This window comes from Homo sapiens, chromosome 1, assembly GCF_000001405.40.
Source record: "Homo sapiens chromosome 1, GRCh38.p14 Primary Assembly".
NCBI classification, from domain to species: domain Eukaryota; kingdom Metazoa; phylum Chordata; class Mammalia; order Primates; family Hominidae; genus Homo; species Homo sapiens.
Genome location: NC_000001.11, coordinates 50,399,371 through 50,417,549, shown reverse-complemented (window position 1 = coordinate 50,417,549; position 18,179 = coordinate 50,399,371). Strand labels below are relative to the sequence as shown.

Here is an 18,179-nt window from a genome sequence, read left to right as displayed (position 1 = left end):
TGCCGAATCCCGTCCCGCTCCTCGAGAAATAGGGGGTGGGGGTGGGGCGCTGGGGAAGGTCGTGATTTCCCACTCAGGCCGCGGCGCTAAGGAGACGCTTGTCCGAGGTCCCGTGGGATCTCCGACCCTCGGGGCTACTGGGAGAGGAGACTTCCTGTGGTACTCGGAAGACCTATCCCACCAGAGTGGCGCGGGGCTCACAACTCCCGAAGGACCCGCGACCGCTGAGCAGAGGGAACACAGTGTGTACCCCAGCTTGGGCACCCTTGCGGAGGGGTCACCTTGCCCCGGCTCTTAGTTTTTGGATCGTCGGCCCCAGTCTTCACAGGGATCTTGCAAGGCTGGGGGCCCAGTCCCTGCTCTTTCCGAGGTGTAGATTTGGATGTACACACTGCGCGCTCCCCATCTCAGATTTGGAACCACAGGCAACGAAGGCGACGGCTGGGCAGGGTGGCTGCTACCATTCTTCTGACAAGGGCTACAGCCTGGGAGTTATGGGGTTCTGGGGAGTTGGGGGTGGCATGCTGCCTTCCTTGAAAAAGTGTAATTTGGGAGAGGGGCCGTGAGCACGCGACTTCGAGCCAGACCTCGTCTCTCACCCTTTTCACCTTCCCTCCTCACGCCGAGCTGAGCAAATTAGCCGCTCCTGGGCCGACCCTCTCCTTCAACCTCCAGTCCCTCCCGCTCCCCGCAGGGTGACTCCCCCGCTCCAGGAAAAGAATGACTCCTCCCCTCGGCTGGGTCCGGCGACATCCCAAGGTAAACTTCTGGGGCCGGCTCGAGTTCCGCCAGGCAGTGAAACTTAATAGCAGGACAAGAAAACGGTTTAATAAAGAAGGGCTTTAATGGGGAACTAATTTGATTGAGTTGCCTAATTCCACTTTAATTGGAAAGGGGGTTTGGCTGTCTGGTGATGAAGTGCGAGCGCGATGAGATGAAAGTGGGGGAGAAGGACCCAGAGAAGAAAGATGCCGGCAAGAGCGATGGACGAAAAGGGGATAAAAAAGGAGAAAAAAGAGGGCGAGAGGAGACAGGAGAGGGAAGAGTTAGAAAGAAAAGAGGCAGGCGGGAGAAAGCGTGCGGAAGCTTCTGGGAGTGTAAACTTTCTTGCCCTTGGCCGCTGCGCCCTCTAAAGCCCCGGTGCGCTCCCCCTACCCCAGGTTTTCGGAGCCTCCCAGCCTCTCCTCGTAGGGCGGTTCCGGCCGCCTCATCCCCGTCCTCTGCCCCACCGCACCCAAGGTGTTGGTTTCGGGAAGGACCTACGCTGGGTCCCCCGAGGCTCCTCGGTTCCTGCCGATGCTCTGGCCGGACCCGAGGGGGCGGCCTGTGGACCCGCGTTACTCATTCCCAAGAACATCTGGAGCGTCACAGACTTAAAGACTATTATATTAGTTCATCCTCGCAGCAAACCGGGGTGAATCCAGAGAGTTGCTTATTACCGGCCCCATTTTACAGAGGAGGAAACTGAGAGCCATCTGGTCCAGGGAATTGTCCAACTTTCCGGGACCCTGGATCACTTCGCCTCTCCACCGCCCCTAGTGGGTCTCCTCCTCTCATGAAGCGGGGTCTGCTGGCCGAGAGTGAGAGGTTTGCGGAAACTCTCCTTCCGTGAACATAGGAGGCCCAGGGAGAAGCAGCGTGCCCCCAAGCGCCTTGGCCTCAGCTCCAGGCTGTCAGCACCTTCGGGTAGAGCTCAGGAAGGCTTCGTGAGCGGTGGGCGTTCTAGGAGTGAGGTAGTGGGGCACCCGAGGTCCCCCGTTCCTGGGCCCGGAGCGTCTCCATGGCCCAGGCCCCGCGGTGGAAGCCCAGGTCGGTCAGTCACAGCCCTTGGCGCCTGGGAACGTACTGCGCCCACGGTGCGCCCCTGACCCGCTGCCCATTGCACAGTCAGGAACAGGGAGGCGCAGAGACCTGCAATGACCGGCCTGGGGTCGCACACCCAGGCCCCAGGGAGCCAGTATCTGTACTCCAGACTCTGGCCTGGTAGCAGGGGCAGGGGGGCGATTGAGTCTCCGCTTCTGGGAGCTTCCGCAGCCGGCAGGAGGGGACTGCGGCCTGAGCTCCGCTGGGATCAGCGCTAGGGAGGAGTGTGGGGTACCCCGGTCTCGGGCGGCGTTCCCACCCTGGAAAGAGAGGGCAGTGGCGGCAGCGTTACCTCTTTTCCTCCTGGGAGAAGGGGAAACGGGAATCTCCTTCCTGACCGCTACTGTCCACGTTTATTCCTGAATGCTTCCCAAAGCAAGCTGGAGCCGACTCGGTCTGAGCAGTGGGAGGATGCGAACCCGGGCCGCCGCGGGTAGCTCCGACTGGTGGGGAGCTTCCCCGCCCCACCCCTCCTGCACAACAGCAGCAGCAGCGACACACTAGCACCTTCTGTATGCCAAGTCCTGTACCAACCATGTTCCCCAGCAGAATCCTGCTCGGTGGGCCAGGAAGAGCCTAGAGCCGGGGTCCAGGCTCAATCGCTGGCTGGGGTTATTCTTTCTTGAATTACTTCAGTCAGCAAATATTTGCTAAGTACTTAATGTATGTCAGGCCCAGTTCTAGGACCCTGGGATACACAAGTGCACACAAGGGAGATCTGGCCGGGGAAGGCCACTTCCGCAAGGCACTCTGCCTCAATTAAATGGTGGAATAGTGGGGTCTGTCTCTCTGGATGCTGTGAGGAGTAAATGAAATAATATCCAAAAGCTCTCAGCTCAGTGCTTGCTCACTAGGTGTTCACTATTACAATTCTCATATCCTTTGGTGTGGATGGTGTGGCCCCATTTAACAAAGAAGTCAACAGCTCAGAGGGATCCAGTGACTGGAGCAAATGGGGCTTCTGAGCCCTCTAAAGTGTCACAGATTATGGGAGACACCCCGCCTAAGGCAAGGGGCCACACAGACAGATGGGAGAGCGTGGTTCTGTAAATGCCTCAGAGGAAGTGAGCTGAGTCCTGAGGAGGTTGGTGAGGGGCAGCATTGTGATCTGTTGTAGGACATTGGGGAGGCAGTCAGGGGTCCCGCTGGACTAGCAGATGGAAAGGGAGGAGGTGGAGACAGGCTGTTGAGGTTGCACAGAGTCAGACGTTAGGTCATGGAGAAACTTGAGTGCCAGAAACTGGGCCTGGACTTCAGTACTGAGAGCTGTTGACAACGGGACCTGGTAAGATTTGCATCTGGATTTGGTAGATTATTTGGAGACAGGCCCAACCTCTCCCTCAGGAGCCGTGACAAATGGTTGTGCCAAAAAGGGATCAGTGGAAGTAGGGAGAGGGAGAAAAGAGGGCCCCTTCAAGAACTGCTAGGAGCCAAACTACCCACTGTTGATCCAGTGTTGGGAGTAAGTAAGGAAGAGGGCTGATTTCCACCTGGAGCAGAGACAAGATTTGATGGCGGGGAGAAGAAGCTTCGTGTTCAACTTCAGAGTTTGAGGGACATGTAGGTCTTCTCAGCATGGACACCAAATGGTAGAAAGAGTCAGCTGTTATCTTGGAGGAATGAGGTGGCCCAGCTCCCTGTCCCCTGAGGACACAGGACTCCCTTAGTGGAGCCCATGGGCCTGGGAGAGGTGTTGAGACCCTCTCACCATGTCTCTTGGTGCCAAGAGGACTGGCCTCTTAACATAACAGACCATGCCTCTTCCATGAAGGTCACCTCTGCCTGGAAAGCTCTTCTCGTTTTTCTCTTCTTTAAGGACTCTCCTCACCTTCCCTAGGGTCCAGTTTCACAGGTAGACTCACTGTGAACCAATGAAGCTTAAACTTCAGGGCTCCACACCTGGCATGTTCCTCTCAAGGTCTTGCACTTTGTGCATACAGTCAAGCGACTTCTATCTTAAAACTTCAGGCCCCATTAAAAACTGCAACTGCCCGCTGGGCATGGTGGCTCACGCCTGTAATCCCAACACTTTGGGAGGCTGAGGCAGGCGGATCACGAGGTCAGGAGATCAAGACCATCCAGGCTAACACAGTGAAACCTCATCTCTACTAAAAATACAAAAAATTAGCCGGGCATGGTGGCAGGCACCTGTAGTCCAAGCTACTTGGGAGGCTGAGGCAGAAGAATGGCGTGAACCCAGGAGGCGGGGCTTGCAGTGAGCAGAGATCACTGTACTCCAGCCTGGACAACAGAGCGAGACTCTGTCTCAAAAACAAAAAACAAACAAAAAACAAAAAAACTGCATCTGCCACTGCCCAGTTTAGCTGCACCCTCATGGCTGCCTGTTCCTGTTAACTATTGTTGCATAACAAATGACCCTGAAATGTAGTGGTTTAAACAATAACCATTTTATTGCATCATTTATGGGTCAGAAATTTGGGCAGAGCTTTTTTTATTGTTGACCAAGATCTCTTGGTGGTATTCAGCTGGTAGATGTGTTGGTCTGGAGACCCCAAGACAGGTTCAGTCACATCTGTGATTCCTTGGTATGGATGGCTGGAAGGCTGGGCTCAGCTGGACAGTTGATTGGAGCACTTCCATCATGGTATCCTCAAGATATCAGACTTTTTACATGTTGACTCAGGGTTCCAAGGCAGATGTTCCAGAGAGCAAAGTGGAAGCTACAGGGCCTTTTATGACCTAACCTCATAGGTCAGAGAATGTGACAAGAGTGTATTATTTGCAAGTTATTGACTCTCAAGTCACACTGACTTAAAAAGAAGGAATTTTCTCCTTTTTTTCTTCTTCATGGTAATGACAATAATAATTATAGACATTTACAACTGAAATTTCCAGAGTTTATCTCTGGAAAAGTCGGAACCAGGTGCTCAAACACCATCAACTGAGCTGCTTTTCTCCATCTCTTAGATCAGCTGTACTCTAAGTTGTCTTCATATCAGGCAGACTTTCTCCAAATGAAGTGCAAATGGCCATTGGTGACCTCAGGCTTGCATTCTACTTTCTCTTTTGTAGTAGACTCATTGACTAGACTTTTGTCATCTTTCCATCCCAGAACCAATAGGGAATGGGACCTACTGGAAAATCAAGCTTTCAGGATAGCTGAATGTTTGCCCATTTCAGCCCTAAATTGTCTTTGTCTTAGCATTTTAGGGTAAGAGCTTTAGAAGGATGTTACTTGCTTTTCCATGTTCTTTTCCGAAGGCTACTGAGATGCTCCAGGTGTTCTTTGATTCAGCGTCTTGTGATGTGCCATAACAGAGTCGTGGGATCTTATTAGAGTGAGGGTTCACTGGCTTTGGCACTAAGAAATGCTTTTCCAGTGTGTTTTTTATTTTAAAAACTTTTTACTATGAAAAATTTCAAGTGTATAAGAAAGTAGAGAATAGTATAATAAATCTGAATATTTGTATACTAATCTCATAACTTTAATAACTATTTAACATTTTGTCATATTTATTTCACCTTAGTTTTCCTTTGATGTATTTAAAAGCAAATTACAGACATTGTGAAATGTCACTCTGAAATACCTCAATGTGAATACCTCATCACTAAAACGTGAGGATATTTTCTTACAAAGCCACAGTACATTAGTATACTATCAATATTAAAAATAATCCCTTTATATAACCTAATATTCAATATATATTAACATTTATCTAATTGCCCCAGTTGGAAATTTTTTTAAATTTAACAATTGATTTGTTCAAACCAGGATTTGGTTGCCTATAGCAGACACTGTCAGAGCCCCACCCGTAGCCCTTGACCTTTCAGTCTACTGATTTCCAACTTCCAAGATCAGTTTCTCTGTGCCAAAGGGCTTCTATTCTAGAACCACAAAAGGGAGACATACCAGGGTTGTAATGATGGGACCCATCCTTCCTAGAGAAGGCAATAAGAAGGCTCGTTGTTTGTAGAATATTTAAAACAATAATAATACTAAAAGTTGGTCTGCTTTTTAAGTTATTACCATTTCCCAGCAATTCTGAACAATGTCAGAGATAAAATATTTCTCACCTCAAAGAACTTTTGTTGGTCTAAACAGGCCCTGCAGTGATTGTTGAGTTTAAATTATGTGTGTGTGTATACACACAAACACACACACTATACATATTTCTTTATTTATATATATCACAAATTGTCACAACTATTATTTTTTGTTTACGTACAGTAAAATTGACTTTTTCATAGTACATTTCTAAAAGGTTGACCGTATGTATATATTTATCTAACCACCATCACAATCAGGATTCAGAACAGCTCTGTCACCCCAGAAAGCTTCCCTGTGCTGCCCCTTTATAATCAAATCCTCCCCCCTACCCCTAATCTCTGGAAACCACTGATCTGTTCCCTGTTTCTCTGTCTTTACAGTTTCTTCTTTTCCAGAATGTTATACAAATGAAACCAGACAGTATGTAGCCTTTTGAGACTGGCTTCTTTCACTTAGCATAATCCCTTTGCGATCCATCCAAATTATTGCACGTGTCAATAGTCCATTCCTTTTTATTGCTGAATAATATTCAGTTGTATTGATCTATCACTATTTGTTTATTCATTCACAGTTACAGGACATTTGGGTTGTTTCAGTTTTTGGTAATTACAAATGAGGTTGCTATAAACGTTCACAAACAGGCTTTTGTGTGATCACAAGTTTTCGCTTCTCCAGGTAAATACCTCCCCAATCCTAGAGGAGTTTCTGCATCGAATCTACTTTCTGTCTCTATAAATTTGTTTAGTCTGGACAATTCATATAAATAGAATTATACAATTTATGGCCTTTTGTGACTGGCTTCTTTCACTTAGCATAAATGTTTTCAAGGTTCATCCCTGTTGTATCATGCATCGGTTCATCATTCCTTTTCATAGCCAAATAATATTCCTATATATATTCATATATATATATATATATAATTTATCCATTCATCAGTTGATGGACATTTGGGTTGTTTCCACTTTTTGGCTATTATGAATACTTCTGCTATATGTGTTCATTCTCTTGGTATATACTTAGGAGTGGAATTGCTGGGTCATTTTTCTCTATGTTAATCTTTGGAGGAACTACCAAATTTTTTTTTTACACAGCAGCTGCATCATTTTACATTCCCACAAGCAGTGCAATATGGTATCAGTTTCTTCACATCCTCACCAACACCTGTTTTTATCTGTTTTTGTTTTTTTTTTTCGAGACAGGATCTCACTCTGTCGCCCAGGCTGGAGTGCAGTGGTGCAGTCACAGCTCACTGCAGCCTCGACCTCTGGGCTCAAGTGATCCTCTCACATCAGCCTCCTGAGTAGCTGGGACTGCAAATGCATGCCACCGTGCCCAGCTAATTTTTAAATTTTTTGTAGACATGGGGTCTCCTTATGTTTATTTGCCCAAGCTCATCTTGAACTGCTGGACTCAAGCAATCCTCCTGCCTCAGCCTCCCAAAGTGATGGCCTTACAAGTGTGAGCTACTTTGCCTGGACATTTTTATCTATCTTTTTAATTCTAGCCATCCTAGTGGGTGTGAAGTGGCATCTCGTTGTGGTTCTGATTTGTATTTCCCTGACAATTAATAATGTTGAACATCTTTTCATGTGTTTTCTGGCCACTTGTGTATCTTCTTTGGAAAAATGTCTATTCAAGTCATTTGACTACTTTGAAATTGTATTTTTTTTTTACTACTGAATCGTAAAATTTATTTATATCTTCTAGATACAAGCCTCTTATCAGTTAGATGACTTACAAGTATTTTCTTCCATTCTGTGGTTTGTCTTTTCACTTTCTTGGTGGTGTCTTTTGTAACACAAAAGTTTTGAGTTTTGATGAAGTCCAGTTCATCTGTTTTTTTTTTCTTTTGTAGTTTGTATTTTTTGTATTACATCTAAGAAGCCACTACCTAGACCAAGGTCATGAAGATTTACATCTAGATTTTCTTCTTCAAAGAGTTTTATAGTTTTAGCTCTTATATGTAAGTTTTTAATTCATTTTTAGTTAATTTTTGCATATGTATGAGATATTATCTTAATTCATTCTTTTACATGTGAATATCCAACGGTCCCAGCATTATTTGTTGAAAAGACTATACCTCAAAGGATAAATGCCTGAAGGGATAGATACTCCACTTCCCATGATGTGATTATTACACATTGCATGTCTGTATCAAAATATCTCACATACCAAATAAATATATACCTGATATGTACCCACAAAAATTAAAAGTACAAAGATTTTAAAAAGAAAGATTATTCTTTCCCCATTGAATTGTCTTGGGACCCTTGTCAAAACTCAGTTAACCCTGAGAAGAGCTTTGACAATGAAAGAAAACAAAAAACCTAAATGAAAAGAATCCCTCAATTAACCATAAATGTGAGGGCTTATTTCTGAACTCTCAGTTTATTCTATTGATTTATATACCTATCTTTATACCAGTACCACACTGTATCAATTACTGTATCTTTGTAGTAAGTTTGAAATTGGGAAGTATGAGTCTTCCAACTTCTTTTCCAAGATTGTTTTGACTACACAGTGTCCCTTGAATTTCCATATAAATTTTAGAATCAGCCTGTCAATTTCTACAAAGTAGTTAGCTGGAAACTGATGTGAATAGCATTAAATTTGTAGATCAACTTGAGAAGTATTACCATCTTAACAATATTAAGTCTTTCATCCAGGAACATGGGATGTCTTTCTATTTATTAGGGTCTTCTTTAATTTCTTTCAACAATACTTTGTAGTTCTCAGAGTATAAATTTTGCATTTCTATTGCTAAATATATTCCTAAGTATTTTACTGTTTTTGATATTGCTGTAAATTGAATTGTTTCCTTAATTTCATATTTGGATTGTTCTTTACAAATGTATAGAAATATGATTGATTTATGAATATTGACCTAGTATCCTGCAACCTTACCAAACTAATTTGTTAGTTCTAATTGTTTTCAGTGGGTTCCTTAGGATATTCCTTTTACAAGATTATGTCTTTTGAAAACAGGTAGTTTCACTTATTCATTTAAAATCTGGATGCCTTTTATTTCATTTTCTTGCCTAATTTTCCTGGCTAGAACCTTCAGTAAAATGTTGAATATAAGCAGCAAGACTGGATATCCTTGTTTTGTTCTTGTTCTTCAGGTGAAATCATTTAATCTTTCCCCATTAAATATCATGTTAGTTGTTATTTTTTGTAGATGTCCTTTATCAGGTTGAAGAAGTTTCCTTCTATTCTAGTTTACTGAATGTTTTTATTATAATGAGGTGTTAAATTTTATATATTTTATAAAATGTTTTTTTCCTGCATCAGTTGAGAAAATCATATGGTTTTTATCATTTACTCTATTGATATGGTGTATATATATATATATATATATATATATATATTTTTTTTTTTTTTTTTTTTTTTTTTTTTTTTTTGCGATGGAGTCTTGCTCTGTTGTCCAGGCTGGAGTGAAGTGATGTGATCTCGGCTCACTGCAACCTCCACCTCCTGGGTTCCAGTGATGATTCTGCCTCAGCCTCCCAAGTAGTTGGGACTACAGGCACATGCCAGCATGCCTGCCTAATTTTTGTACTTTTAGTAGAGATGGGGTTTCACCATGTTGGCCAGGTGATCTCAAACTCCTGACCTCAGGTGATCTGCCTGCCTCAGCCTCCCAAAGTACTGGGATTACAGGCATGAGCCACTGCACCCTGCCATGATATGGTATATTCTATTAATTGGTTTTCAAATTTTAAAGCAACTTCATAATCTTGGGTTAAATCCCACTTGCTCATGGTGTATAATACTTTTTGTATGTTGCTGAATTTAGCCTGTTAGTATTTTGCTGAGAATTTTTAAATCTATATTCATAAAAGATACTGGTCTATAGTTTTCTTTTCTTGTGATGTCTTTGTCTGGTTTTAGTACCAAAATAATCTGGTATCATAGAATGAGTTGGGAAGTGGTCCCTCCTCTTTGATTTTTTGGAAAAGTTTGTGAAGAATTAGTATTAATTCTTTAAGTGTTTGGCAGAATTCGCCAATAAAACCATCTAGGTCTGGGGTTTTCTTTATGGGTAGGTTTTGATTACTAATTCAATCTCTTGTTATAGACCTGTTCAGATCTATAACATATATCTATAATAAGGAATTTGTTCCTTATTATTTCTGTAAGGTCAGTAGTAATGTCCCTTCTTTCACTCCTGCTTTTAGCTTTTTTATTTTTATTTTTTGAGACAGAGTCTTGCCCTGTCACCCAGGCTGGAGTGCAGTAGCACAGTCTCGGCTCACTGCAACCTCCACCTCCTAGGTTCAAGTGATTCTCCTGCCTCAGCCTCCCAAGAAGCTGGGATTAGAGACATGTGCCACCATGCCTGGCTAATTTTTGTATTTTTAGTAGAGATGAGTTTTCACCATATTGGCCAGGTTGGTCTTGAACTACTGACCTCAATTTGATCTGCCCTCCTCGGCCTCCCTCCCAAAGTGCTGGGATTACAGGCATGAGCCACCATGCCTGGCCCCCCTATTTCTTTCTTTTCTTTTTTTTTTTTTTTTTTTAAGATTTATACCTATTTGGTCTCCAATTGTTCATTACTATTATATAGATGAACATTTCATATTTGAATGCTGACATTGTATCAAGAACTTTGCTGCATTCACTTATTATTTATAGGAGCTTTGCTTGTATATTCCTTGGAATTTCCTACATGGTTAATCTTGTCATCTGTAAGTAAGGATAGTTTTACTACAGTATTGAATAGGAGTGATGAGAATAGAGATTCTTGCTTTGTCCCATTTTGGAGTGCAAACATTCAGTCTTTCCCCATTAAATATGGTATTAGTACTGGGTGTGGTGTTCTGGGATTCAGGCTGCCTCTAAGTCCAGGCTGGGAGATATTGGAGGAATAAAAACCAAGAAAACTCACCACTATAGCAATGATTCTTCAAGTTTTGGTTTCCTTTCCCAATCCTCTTGTTACTATTTACTTTTCAGAGTCCTCAGATCGCTGCTTCATGCATTCTTTCCAGGATTTTTTGTTGCATTTAATGTGAGAGACAGGGCTAAATGTGCTTACTTCATCTTAACTGGAACCGGAACCAAATGATCACTTTTAAATTACATATTCTTCACTATGCACTGTATTCTACATGGAAGTTCATTCAGAGGAATCCCAGTTAAACAGTTGGTCCCAACACATGTAGACTCAGCATATAAGCCACATTTATTTCAAGAGTAAGTTTGTAAAGGTTTGGAACTGTGGGCGCTTGCTCAGTGTGCAGTTTGTTTCTCCAACCTCTGTTGTACTACATATTCCTATTTAAATGGTAGATATGAAATAAATGATAGTTTAGTGACTTGAAGGTGAAGAATCAGAACCTGAGTTATTTAAATCTGTTACTTTATGTGCCCTCTTAGAGATTTTATTTGTGTTAAAAATTTAAAACAGTAAAACAAAGTGTGAATTCTGAGGCACAATATTTTTGTTTGGTATGCATGGTGCAGTTCATGTAAAAATGGGAGATATTAATCCCAAATCGTTACTTGTCTCTTTTATAATCATTCTCTGAATCTTTATGGTGTTCACACTTTCAGAAGTGTTTTTAATGTGTGACATTTGTTCAAACTTTGTTAAAAAAATTATCCATTCAGTTGGTGATTACAGAAGAAACAGAAGTGTGATGTGACCGTGGGGAAGCAAAATAGAACAAGGAAGTACGCAACCATGAAGCAAATCCTTAGTCTCAGAGATCAGAGGCTTAAAGAAAAGGATAGATTAAAACCTAAAAAGAAAGAAAAGAAGGATCCCAACACATTAAAGGAAAGGGAAGTTCCCCAACACCCTTCCCACTTATTTTTCCAATATAATACACAGCTCGGCCCACCTTACCACATCCTCATTGATACCAACTTTATCAACTTTTCCATAAAAGCCAAACTGGACTTAATGCAGTCAATGATGGACTGTCTGTATGCCAAGTGTATCCCTTGTATAACTGATTGTGTAATGGCTGAAATTGAGAAATTGGGGCAGAAGTATAGAGTGGCTCTAAGGATCACCAAGGATCCAAGATTTGAACTATTACCATGTGCACACCAAGGAACCTATGCAGATGACTGCTTAGTACAGAAATAACTCAGCATAAGTGTTACATTATTGCCACAGTTGACTGGGACCTTAAAAGAAGAATCTGTAAGATTCCTGGAGTTCCTATCATGTACATTTCTAACCATAGATACAACATTGAATGGATGTCCGATGATTATGGAGCCCCTTGATTCTAATTCTTACAAGACACATTTCCTCTGCCTTTCCTTCCACCAACTTTCTCTTGTTGCCAGTTCATTACTCATGCAATAGCATGAATTATTATTCTGTTGACCTATTTGCTCTATTATCAGATGGGGATGGTTAAATACGCTGACTCTTTTTTTTTTTTTTTTTTTTTGAGATGAAGTTTCGCTCTTGTTGCCCAGGCTGGGGTGCAGTGGCGTGATCTTGGCTCACTGCAGCCTCTGCCTCCCAGGTGCGGGCGGTTCTCCTGCCTCAGCCTCCCAAGTGGCTGGGATTGCAGGCATGCACCACCATGCCCAGTGGGCTTTTTTTTTTCTTTTTTTGGTATTTTTTAGTAGAGACAAATATTTTTGTATTTTTAGTACAGAAAAATATGCCTTGGCCTCCTAGGGTGCTGGGGATTGCAGGCATGGCCACCATGCCTGGCCTGCTCACTTTTTGATGCTGTTTTGAAATTGATATTTTGCCTCATAAAAATTTAGGCCAGGCACCGTGGCTTGTACCTGTGGTACCAGCACTTTGGGAGGCCGAGGTGGGCGGACCACCTGAGGTCAGGAGTTCGAGACCAGCCTAGACAACGTGGTGAAACCCCATCTCTACTAAAAATACAGAAAAAGTTGGCCGGGTGTGGTGTCGTGTGCCTGTGGTCCCGGCTGCTGGGGAGGCTGAGGCAGAAGAGTCACTTGAACCCAGGAAGTAGAGGTTGTGGTGGGCCGGGATTGTGCCATTGCATTCCAGCCTGGGTGAAAGAGTGAGAATATCTCCAAAAAAAAAAAAAAATTTAATGATGGTCAAAGGGTGCAAAATCTCAGACAGGAAAAATATGTTTTATACTCTTTTTGAGTTCTATTGTACACTTCTGTTATACTTTTTTTGAGTGGTGCATACACTTAATAGTGGAGTATTATACATTTCAAAATGAATGTTCTCATCACAGAAATGTATTTGAACTGTGGTGGCTCATGCCTGTAATCCCAGCACTTTGGGAGGCCGAGGCAGGAGATCACCTGAGGTCAGGAGTTCGAGACCAGCCTGACCAACATGGAGGAACCGTGTCTCTACTAAAAACACAAAATTAGCTGGACGTGATGGCGCATGCCTCTAATCCCAGCTACTTGGGAGGCTGAAGCGGGAAAATCGCTTGAACCCGGGAGGCAGAGGTTGTGGTGAGCTGAGATCTTACCATTACACTCCAGCCTGGGCAACAAGAGCAAAACTCCATCTCAAAAAAAAAAAAAAAAAAAGGAAATGTATTTGAAGTATTGGGTATTTTAACTAGCTTGATTTAATTATTATACCTTGTATCCACAATTTGTGACATCACTTTGTAACCCATAAATTTATACAATTATAAATTGTCAATTTACAATAAAAAATTTTTGTTGCATCTTTTTAGAAAAAACTATCCATTCTTTCTGATCTCTCCTCATCTATAAAAAATGCTGCCAAATGTAGTTATAACACTGAAACAGATTATACCAGGCAAATTAAGCTGTGTGCACAGTAAGGACAATTTATTTTTATTTTTTTATTTAACTTTTAAGTTCAGGGATACAGGTGTGCAGGTTTTTATATAGGTAAACTCACGGCACAGGGGTTTGATGTACAGATTATTTCATCACCCAGGTACTCAGCCTACTACCCAATAGTTATTTTTTCTGCTCCTCTCCCTCCTCCCAACCTCCACCCTCTGGTAAGCCCCAGTGTCTGTTGTTTCCCTCTTTGTGTCCATGTGGTCTCATCATTTAGCTCCTACTTACAAGTGAGAACATGCGGTATTTGGTTTTCTGTTTCTGAGTTAGTTTGCTAAGGATAATGGCCTCCAGCTCCATCTATGTTCCTGCAAAGGACATGATTTCACTCTTTTTATGACTGCATAGTATTCCATGGCTTATATGTACCACATTTTCTTTGCCCAGTCTTCTGTTGATGGGCATTTAGGTTGATTCCATGTATTTGCTATTGTGAATAGTGTTGCAATGAACCTAGGCATGCATGCATGTCTTTATGATAGAATGACTTATATTCTTTTGGGTATATACCCAGTAATGGGATTGCTGGGTCGAATGGTATTTCTGTCTTTAGGTCTTTGAGAAATTGCTACACTGTCTTCCACAATGAACTAATTTACACTCCCACCAATATGTAAATTTGTTCCCTTTTCTCCACAACCATGCCAGCATCTGTTGTTTTTTGACTTTTTAATACTAGCTATTCTGACTGGCGTGAGATGGTATGTCACTGTAGTTTTGATTTGCATTTCTCTAATGATCAGTGATGTTGAGCTTTTTTTCATATGATTGTTGGCCACATGTATGTCTTCTTTTGAAAAGCGTTCATGTCATTTGCCCACTTTAATGGGGTTGTTTGTTGTAAATTTGTTTAAGTTCCTGATAGATGCTATTGTGGATAGCATTATTGTGGATTGCATTATTGTGGATATTAGACCTTTGTCAGATGCATAGCTTGCAAAAATTTTCTCCCATTTTATAGGTTGTCTGTTCACTCTGTTGATAGTTTCCTTTGCTGTCCAGAAGCTTGTTAGTATAAATAGATCCCATTTGCCAATTTTTGCTTTTGTTGCCATTGCTTTTGGTGTCTTCATCATGAAATCTAAGTCCAGAATTGTATTACCTAGGTTTTCTTCCAGGGATTTTGTAGTTTTAGGTTTTCAATTTAAGTCTTTAATTCATCTTGAGTTAATTTTTGCGTATGGTATAAGGAAGGGGTCCAATCTCAATCTTCTGCATATGGGCAGACAGTTATCCCAGCACCATTCATTGAACAGAGAATCCTTTCCCCATTGCTTATTTTTGTCAGCTTTGTTGAAGATCAGATACTTGTAGCTGTGTGGCCTTATTTCTGGGCTTTCTGTTCTGTTCCATTACTCTATGTGTCTGTTTTTGTACCAGTGCTGTGCTGTTTTGATTACTGTAGCCCTGTAGTATACTTTGAGTGGAGTTGGATTGCCTTAGCTCTTCAGGCTTTTTTTTTTTTTTTGGTTCCATATGAATTTTAAAATAGTTTTTTTCTAGTTCTGCAAAAAATATCAATGATAGTTTAATAAGAATAGCATTGAATCTATGAGTTGCTTTGAGCAGTATGGCCATTTTAATGATATTTATTCTTTCTATTCGTGAGCATGGAATGTTTTCCCGTTTGTTTTTGTCATCTCTAATTTTTTTGAGCAGTGTTTTATAGTTCTCACTGTAAAGATTGTTCACCTCCCTGGTTAGCTGTATTCCTAGGTATTTTATAATTTTTTGTGGCAATTGTGAATGGGATTGTGTTCCTGATTTGGCTCTTGGTTTGGCTGTTGTTGGTGTACAGGAATGTTAGTGATTTTTGCACATTGATTTTGTATTGTGAGACTTTGCTGAAGTTGTTTATCAGCTTAAGGAGCTTTTGGACTGAGACTGTGGGGTTTTCTAGATATAGGATTATGTCATCTGCAAACAGGGATAGTTTGACTTCTTCTCTTCTTATTTGGATGCCCTTTATTTCTTTCTCTTGTCTAATTGCCCTGCCCAGGACTTCCAATACTATGTTGAATAGGAGTGGTGAGAGAGGGCATCCTTGTCTTGTGCTGATTTTCAAGGGGAATGCTTCCAGCTTTTGCCCATTCAGTATGATGTTGGCTGTGGGTTTGTGATAGATGGCTCTCATTATTTTGAGATAGATTCCTTCAATATCTAGTTTATTGAGAGTTTTTAACATGAAGGAGTGTTGAATTTTATTGAAAGCATTTTCTGCATCTATTGAGATAATCATGTGGTTTTTGTCTTTAGTTGTATTTATGTGATAAATCACATTTATTGATTTGCATATGTTGAACCAAACTTGCATCCCAGAGATGAAGCCTACTTGATTGTGGCAGATAAGCTTTTTGATGTGCTGTTGGATTCAGTTTGCCAGTATTTTGTTGAGGATTTTTGCATCAATGTTCACCAAGGATATTATTGGCCTAAAGTGGGTTTTTTGTTTTGTTTTGTTTTCTTTTTTGTTTTTATGTCTCTACCAGATTTTAGTATCAGGATGATGCTGAGCTCATAGCATGAGTTAGGGAGGATTCTCTCCTCCTCAATTTTTTGTGATAGTTTTAGCAGGAATGGTACCAGCTCTTCTTTGTACATGAGATAGCATTCGGCTGTGAATCCATCTGGTCTTGGGCTTTTTTTGGTTGGTAAGCTATTACTGACAATTTCAGAGCTTGTTAATTGGTCTGTGCAGGGATTCATTTTCTTCCTGCTTCAGTCTTGGGAGAGTATATGTGTCCAGGAATTTATCAATTTCTTCTAGATTTTCTAGGTTATGTGCATAGAGATATTTGTACTATCCTGACAGTTGTTTGTATTTCTATAGGGTCAGTGTTAATCCCCTTTGTTGTTTCTGATTGTGTTTATTTGAATCTTCTCTCTTTCTTCTTTATTAGTCTAGCTAGTGGTCTATTTTATTAATTTTTTTCGAAAGACTGGCTCCGGGGTTTGTTGATCTTTTGAATGATTTCTTGTGTCTCAATTTCTTTCATTTCAGCCCTGATTTTGGTTATTTCCTGTCTTCTGCCAGCTTTGGGATTTGTTTGCTCTTGTCTGTCTAGTTCTTTTAGTTGTGATGTTAGGTTAATGTTGACTTTCGAGATACAGTCATACCTTCCAGTTTCAGATGACTGCAATAAAGTGAATATCATAATAAAGCAAGTCACACAAATTTTGGTTTCTCGGTGTGTATAAAAGTTATGTTTATACTATATCATAGTCTATTAAATGTGCACTAGCATTATATCTAAAGAAACAATGTACATACCTTAATTGAAAATACTTTATTGCTAAAAAATGCTGGTGATCAGCTAAGGCTTCAGCAAGTCACAATTTTTTTGCTAGTGGAGGGTCTTGCTTCAGTGTTGATGGCTGCTGACTTATCAGGTTGGTGATTGCTGAAAGTTGAGGTGGTTGTGGCCATTTATTAAAATAAGACAAAAATTTTTGTGAAGAGCCAGAATCAGCCTTGAGTAATGTATAGTAAATCTCAGTCTTGAACACTGGCACATAAAAAATGTGGAGAAGACTTTCGGCTATGCCACACAAAAAGAATGGATATTTACAAGGAAAAAAAGAATCAAACTTTGAAGAAGAATTCCAGGAGAAATGACAAAAGATGCCAGAATAAATAAAAAGACTATGCTTGAATGACTTGATCATTTCTACCAAGAGCTATATACTCATTTTAAAGCAATGACTCAAATAATGCCAATATTTGCTATCACTCTGCAATATTATCGGATTTTCAAAATAAAACGGGGGAGTTTGTTTTTTTGTTTTTGTGTTGAATTGTGAAAATTCTCTAGTGGAAATTTTCAATTCTGGAGACCATTGAAATCCACTAGAATTCATCCCTCTAAAACAAAGTAATGTACAGTATTATCATTTTTGGAACTTGTGAAATTGGTTTTTAGGAATTTTTGACAAACCATTTATATATGGGTTGCTTCATGTAAAAGAAACTTTTCACAGAGTGGAGAGAGTGAGGAGGCCTGCTCTGACAGCTGTTACAGTACATTGAGCTCCATAGAGACAGCGCCAGGGCAAGTGGGAGCCGGATGAGCACTGGGTGACTCTGTGCCTCACTGAGGAAAAAAATAACTAAACATGGGCAAAGGAGATCCTAAGAAGCCAAGAGGCAAAATGTTATCATATGCATTTCTTGTGAAAACTTGTCAGAAGGAGCATAAGAAGCTTCAGTCAACTTCTCAGAGTTTTCTAAGAAGTGCTCAGAGAGAGGCCAGGTGCGGTGGCTCATGCCTGTAATCTCAGCACTTTGGGAGGCCGAGGCAGGCAGATCACTTGATGTCAGGAGTTCACGACTAGCCTGGTCAACATAGTGAAACCCCGTCTCTTCTAAAAATCCAAATATTAGCCAGATGTGGTGGCGGGTGCCTGTAATCCCAGCTCCTTGGGAGGCTGAGGCAAGAGAATCGCTTGAACCCGGGAGGCGGAGGCTGCAGTGAGCCAAGACCTCACCACTGGACTCCACCCTGGGCGACAGAGAGAC

The 18,179-nt window shown here is 41.6% G+C and overlaps 1 pseudogene; it reads left to right on the top strand.

Annotated features, from left to right (window-relative positions):
* On the top strand, positions 11,488-12,510 carry FCF1P6 (FCF1 pseudogene 6; annotated as a pseudogene).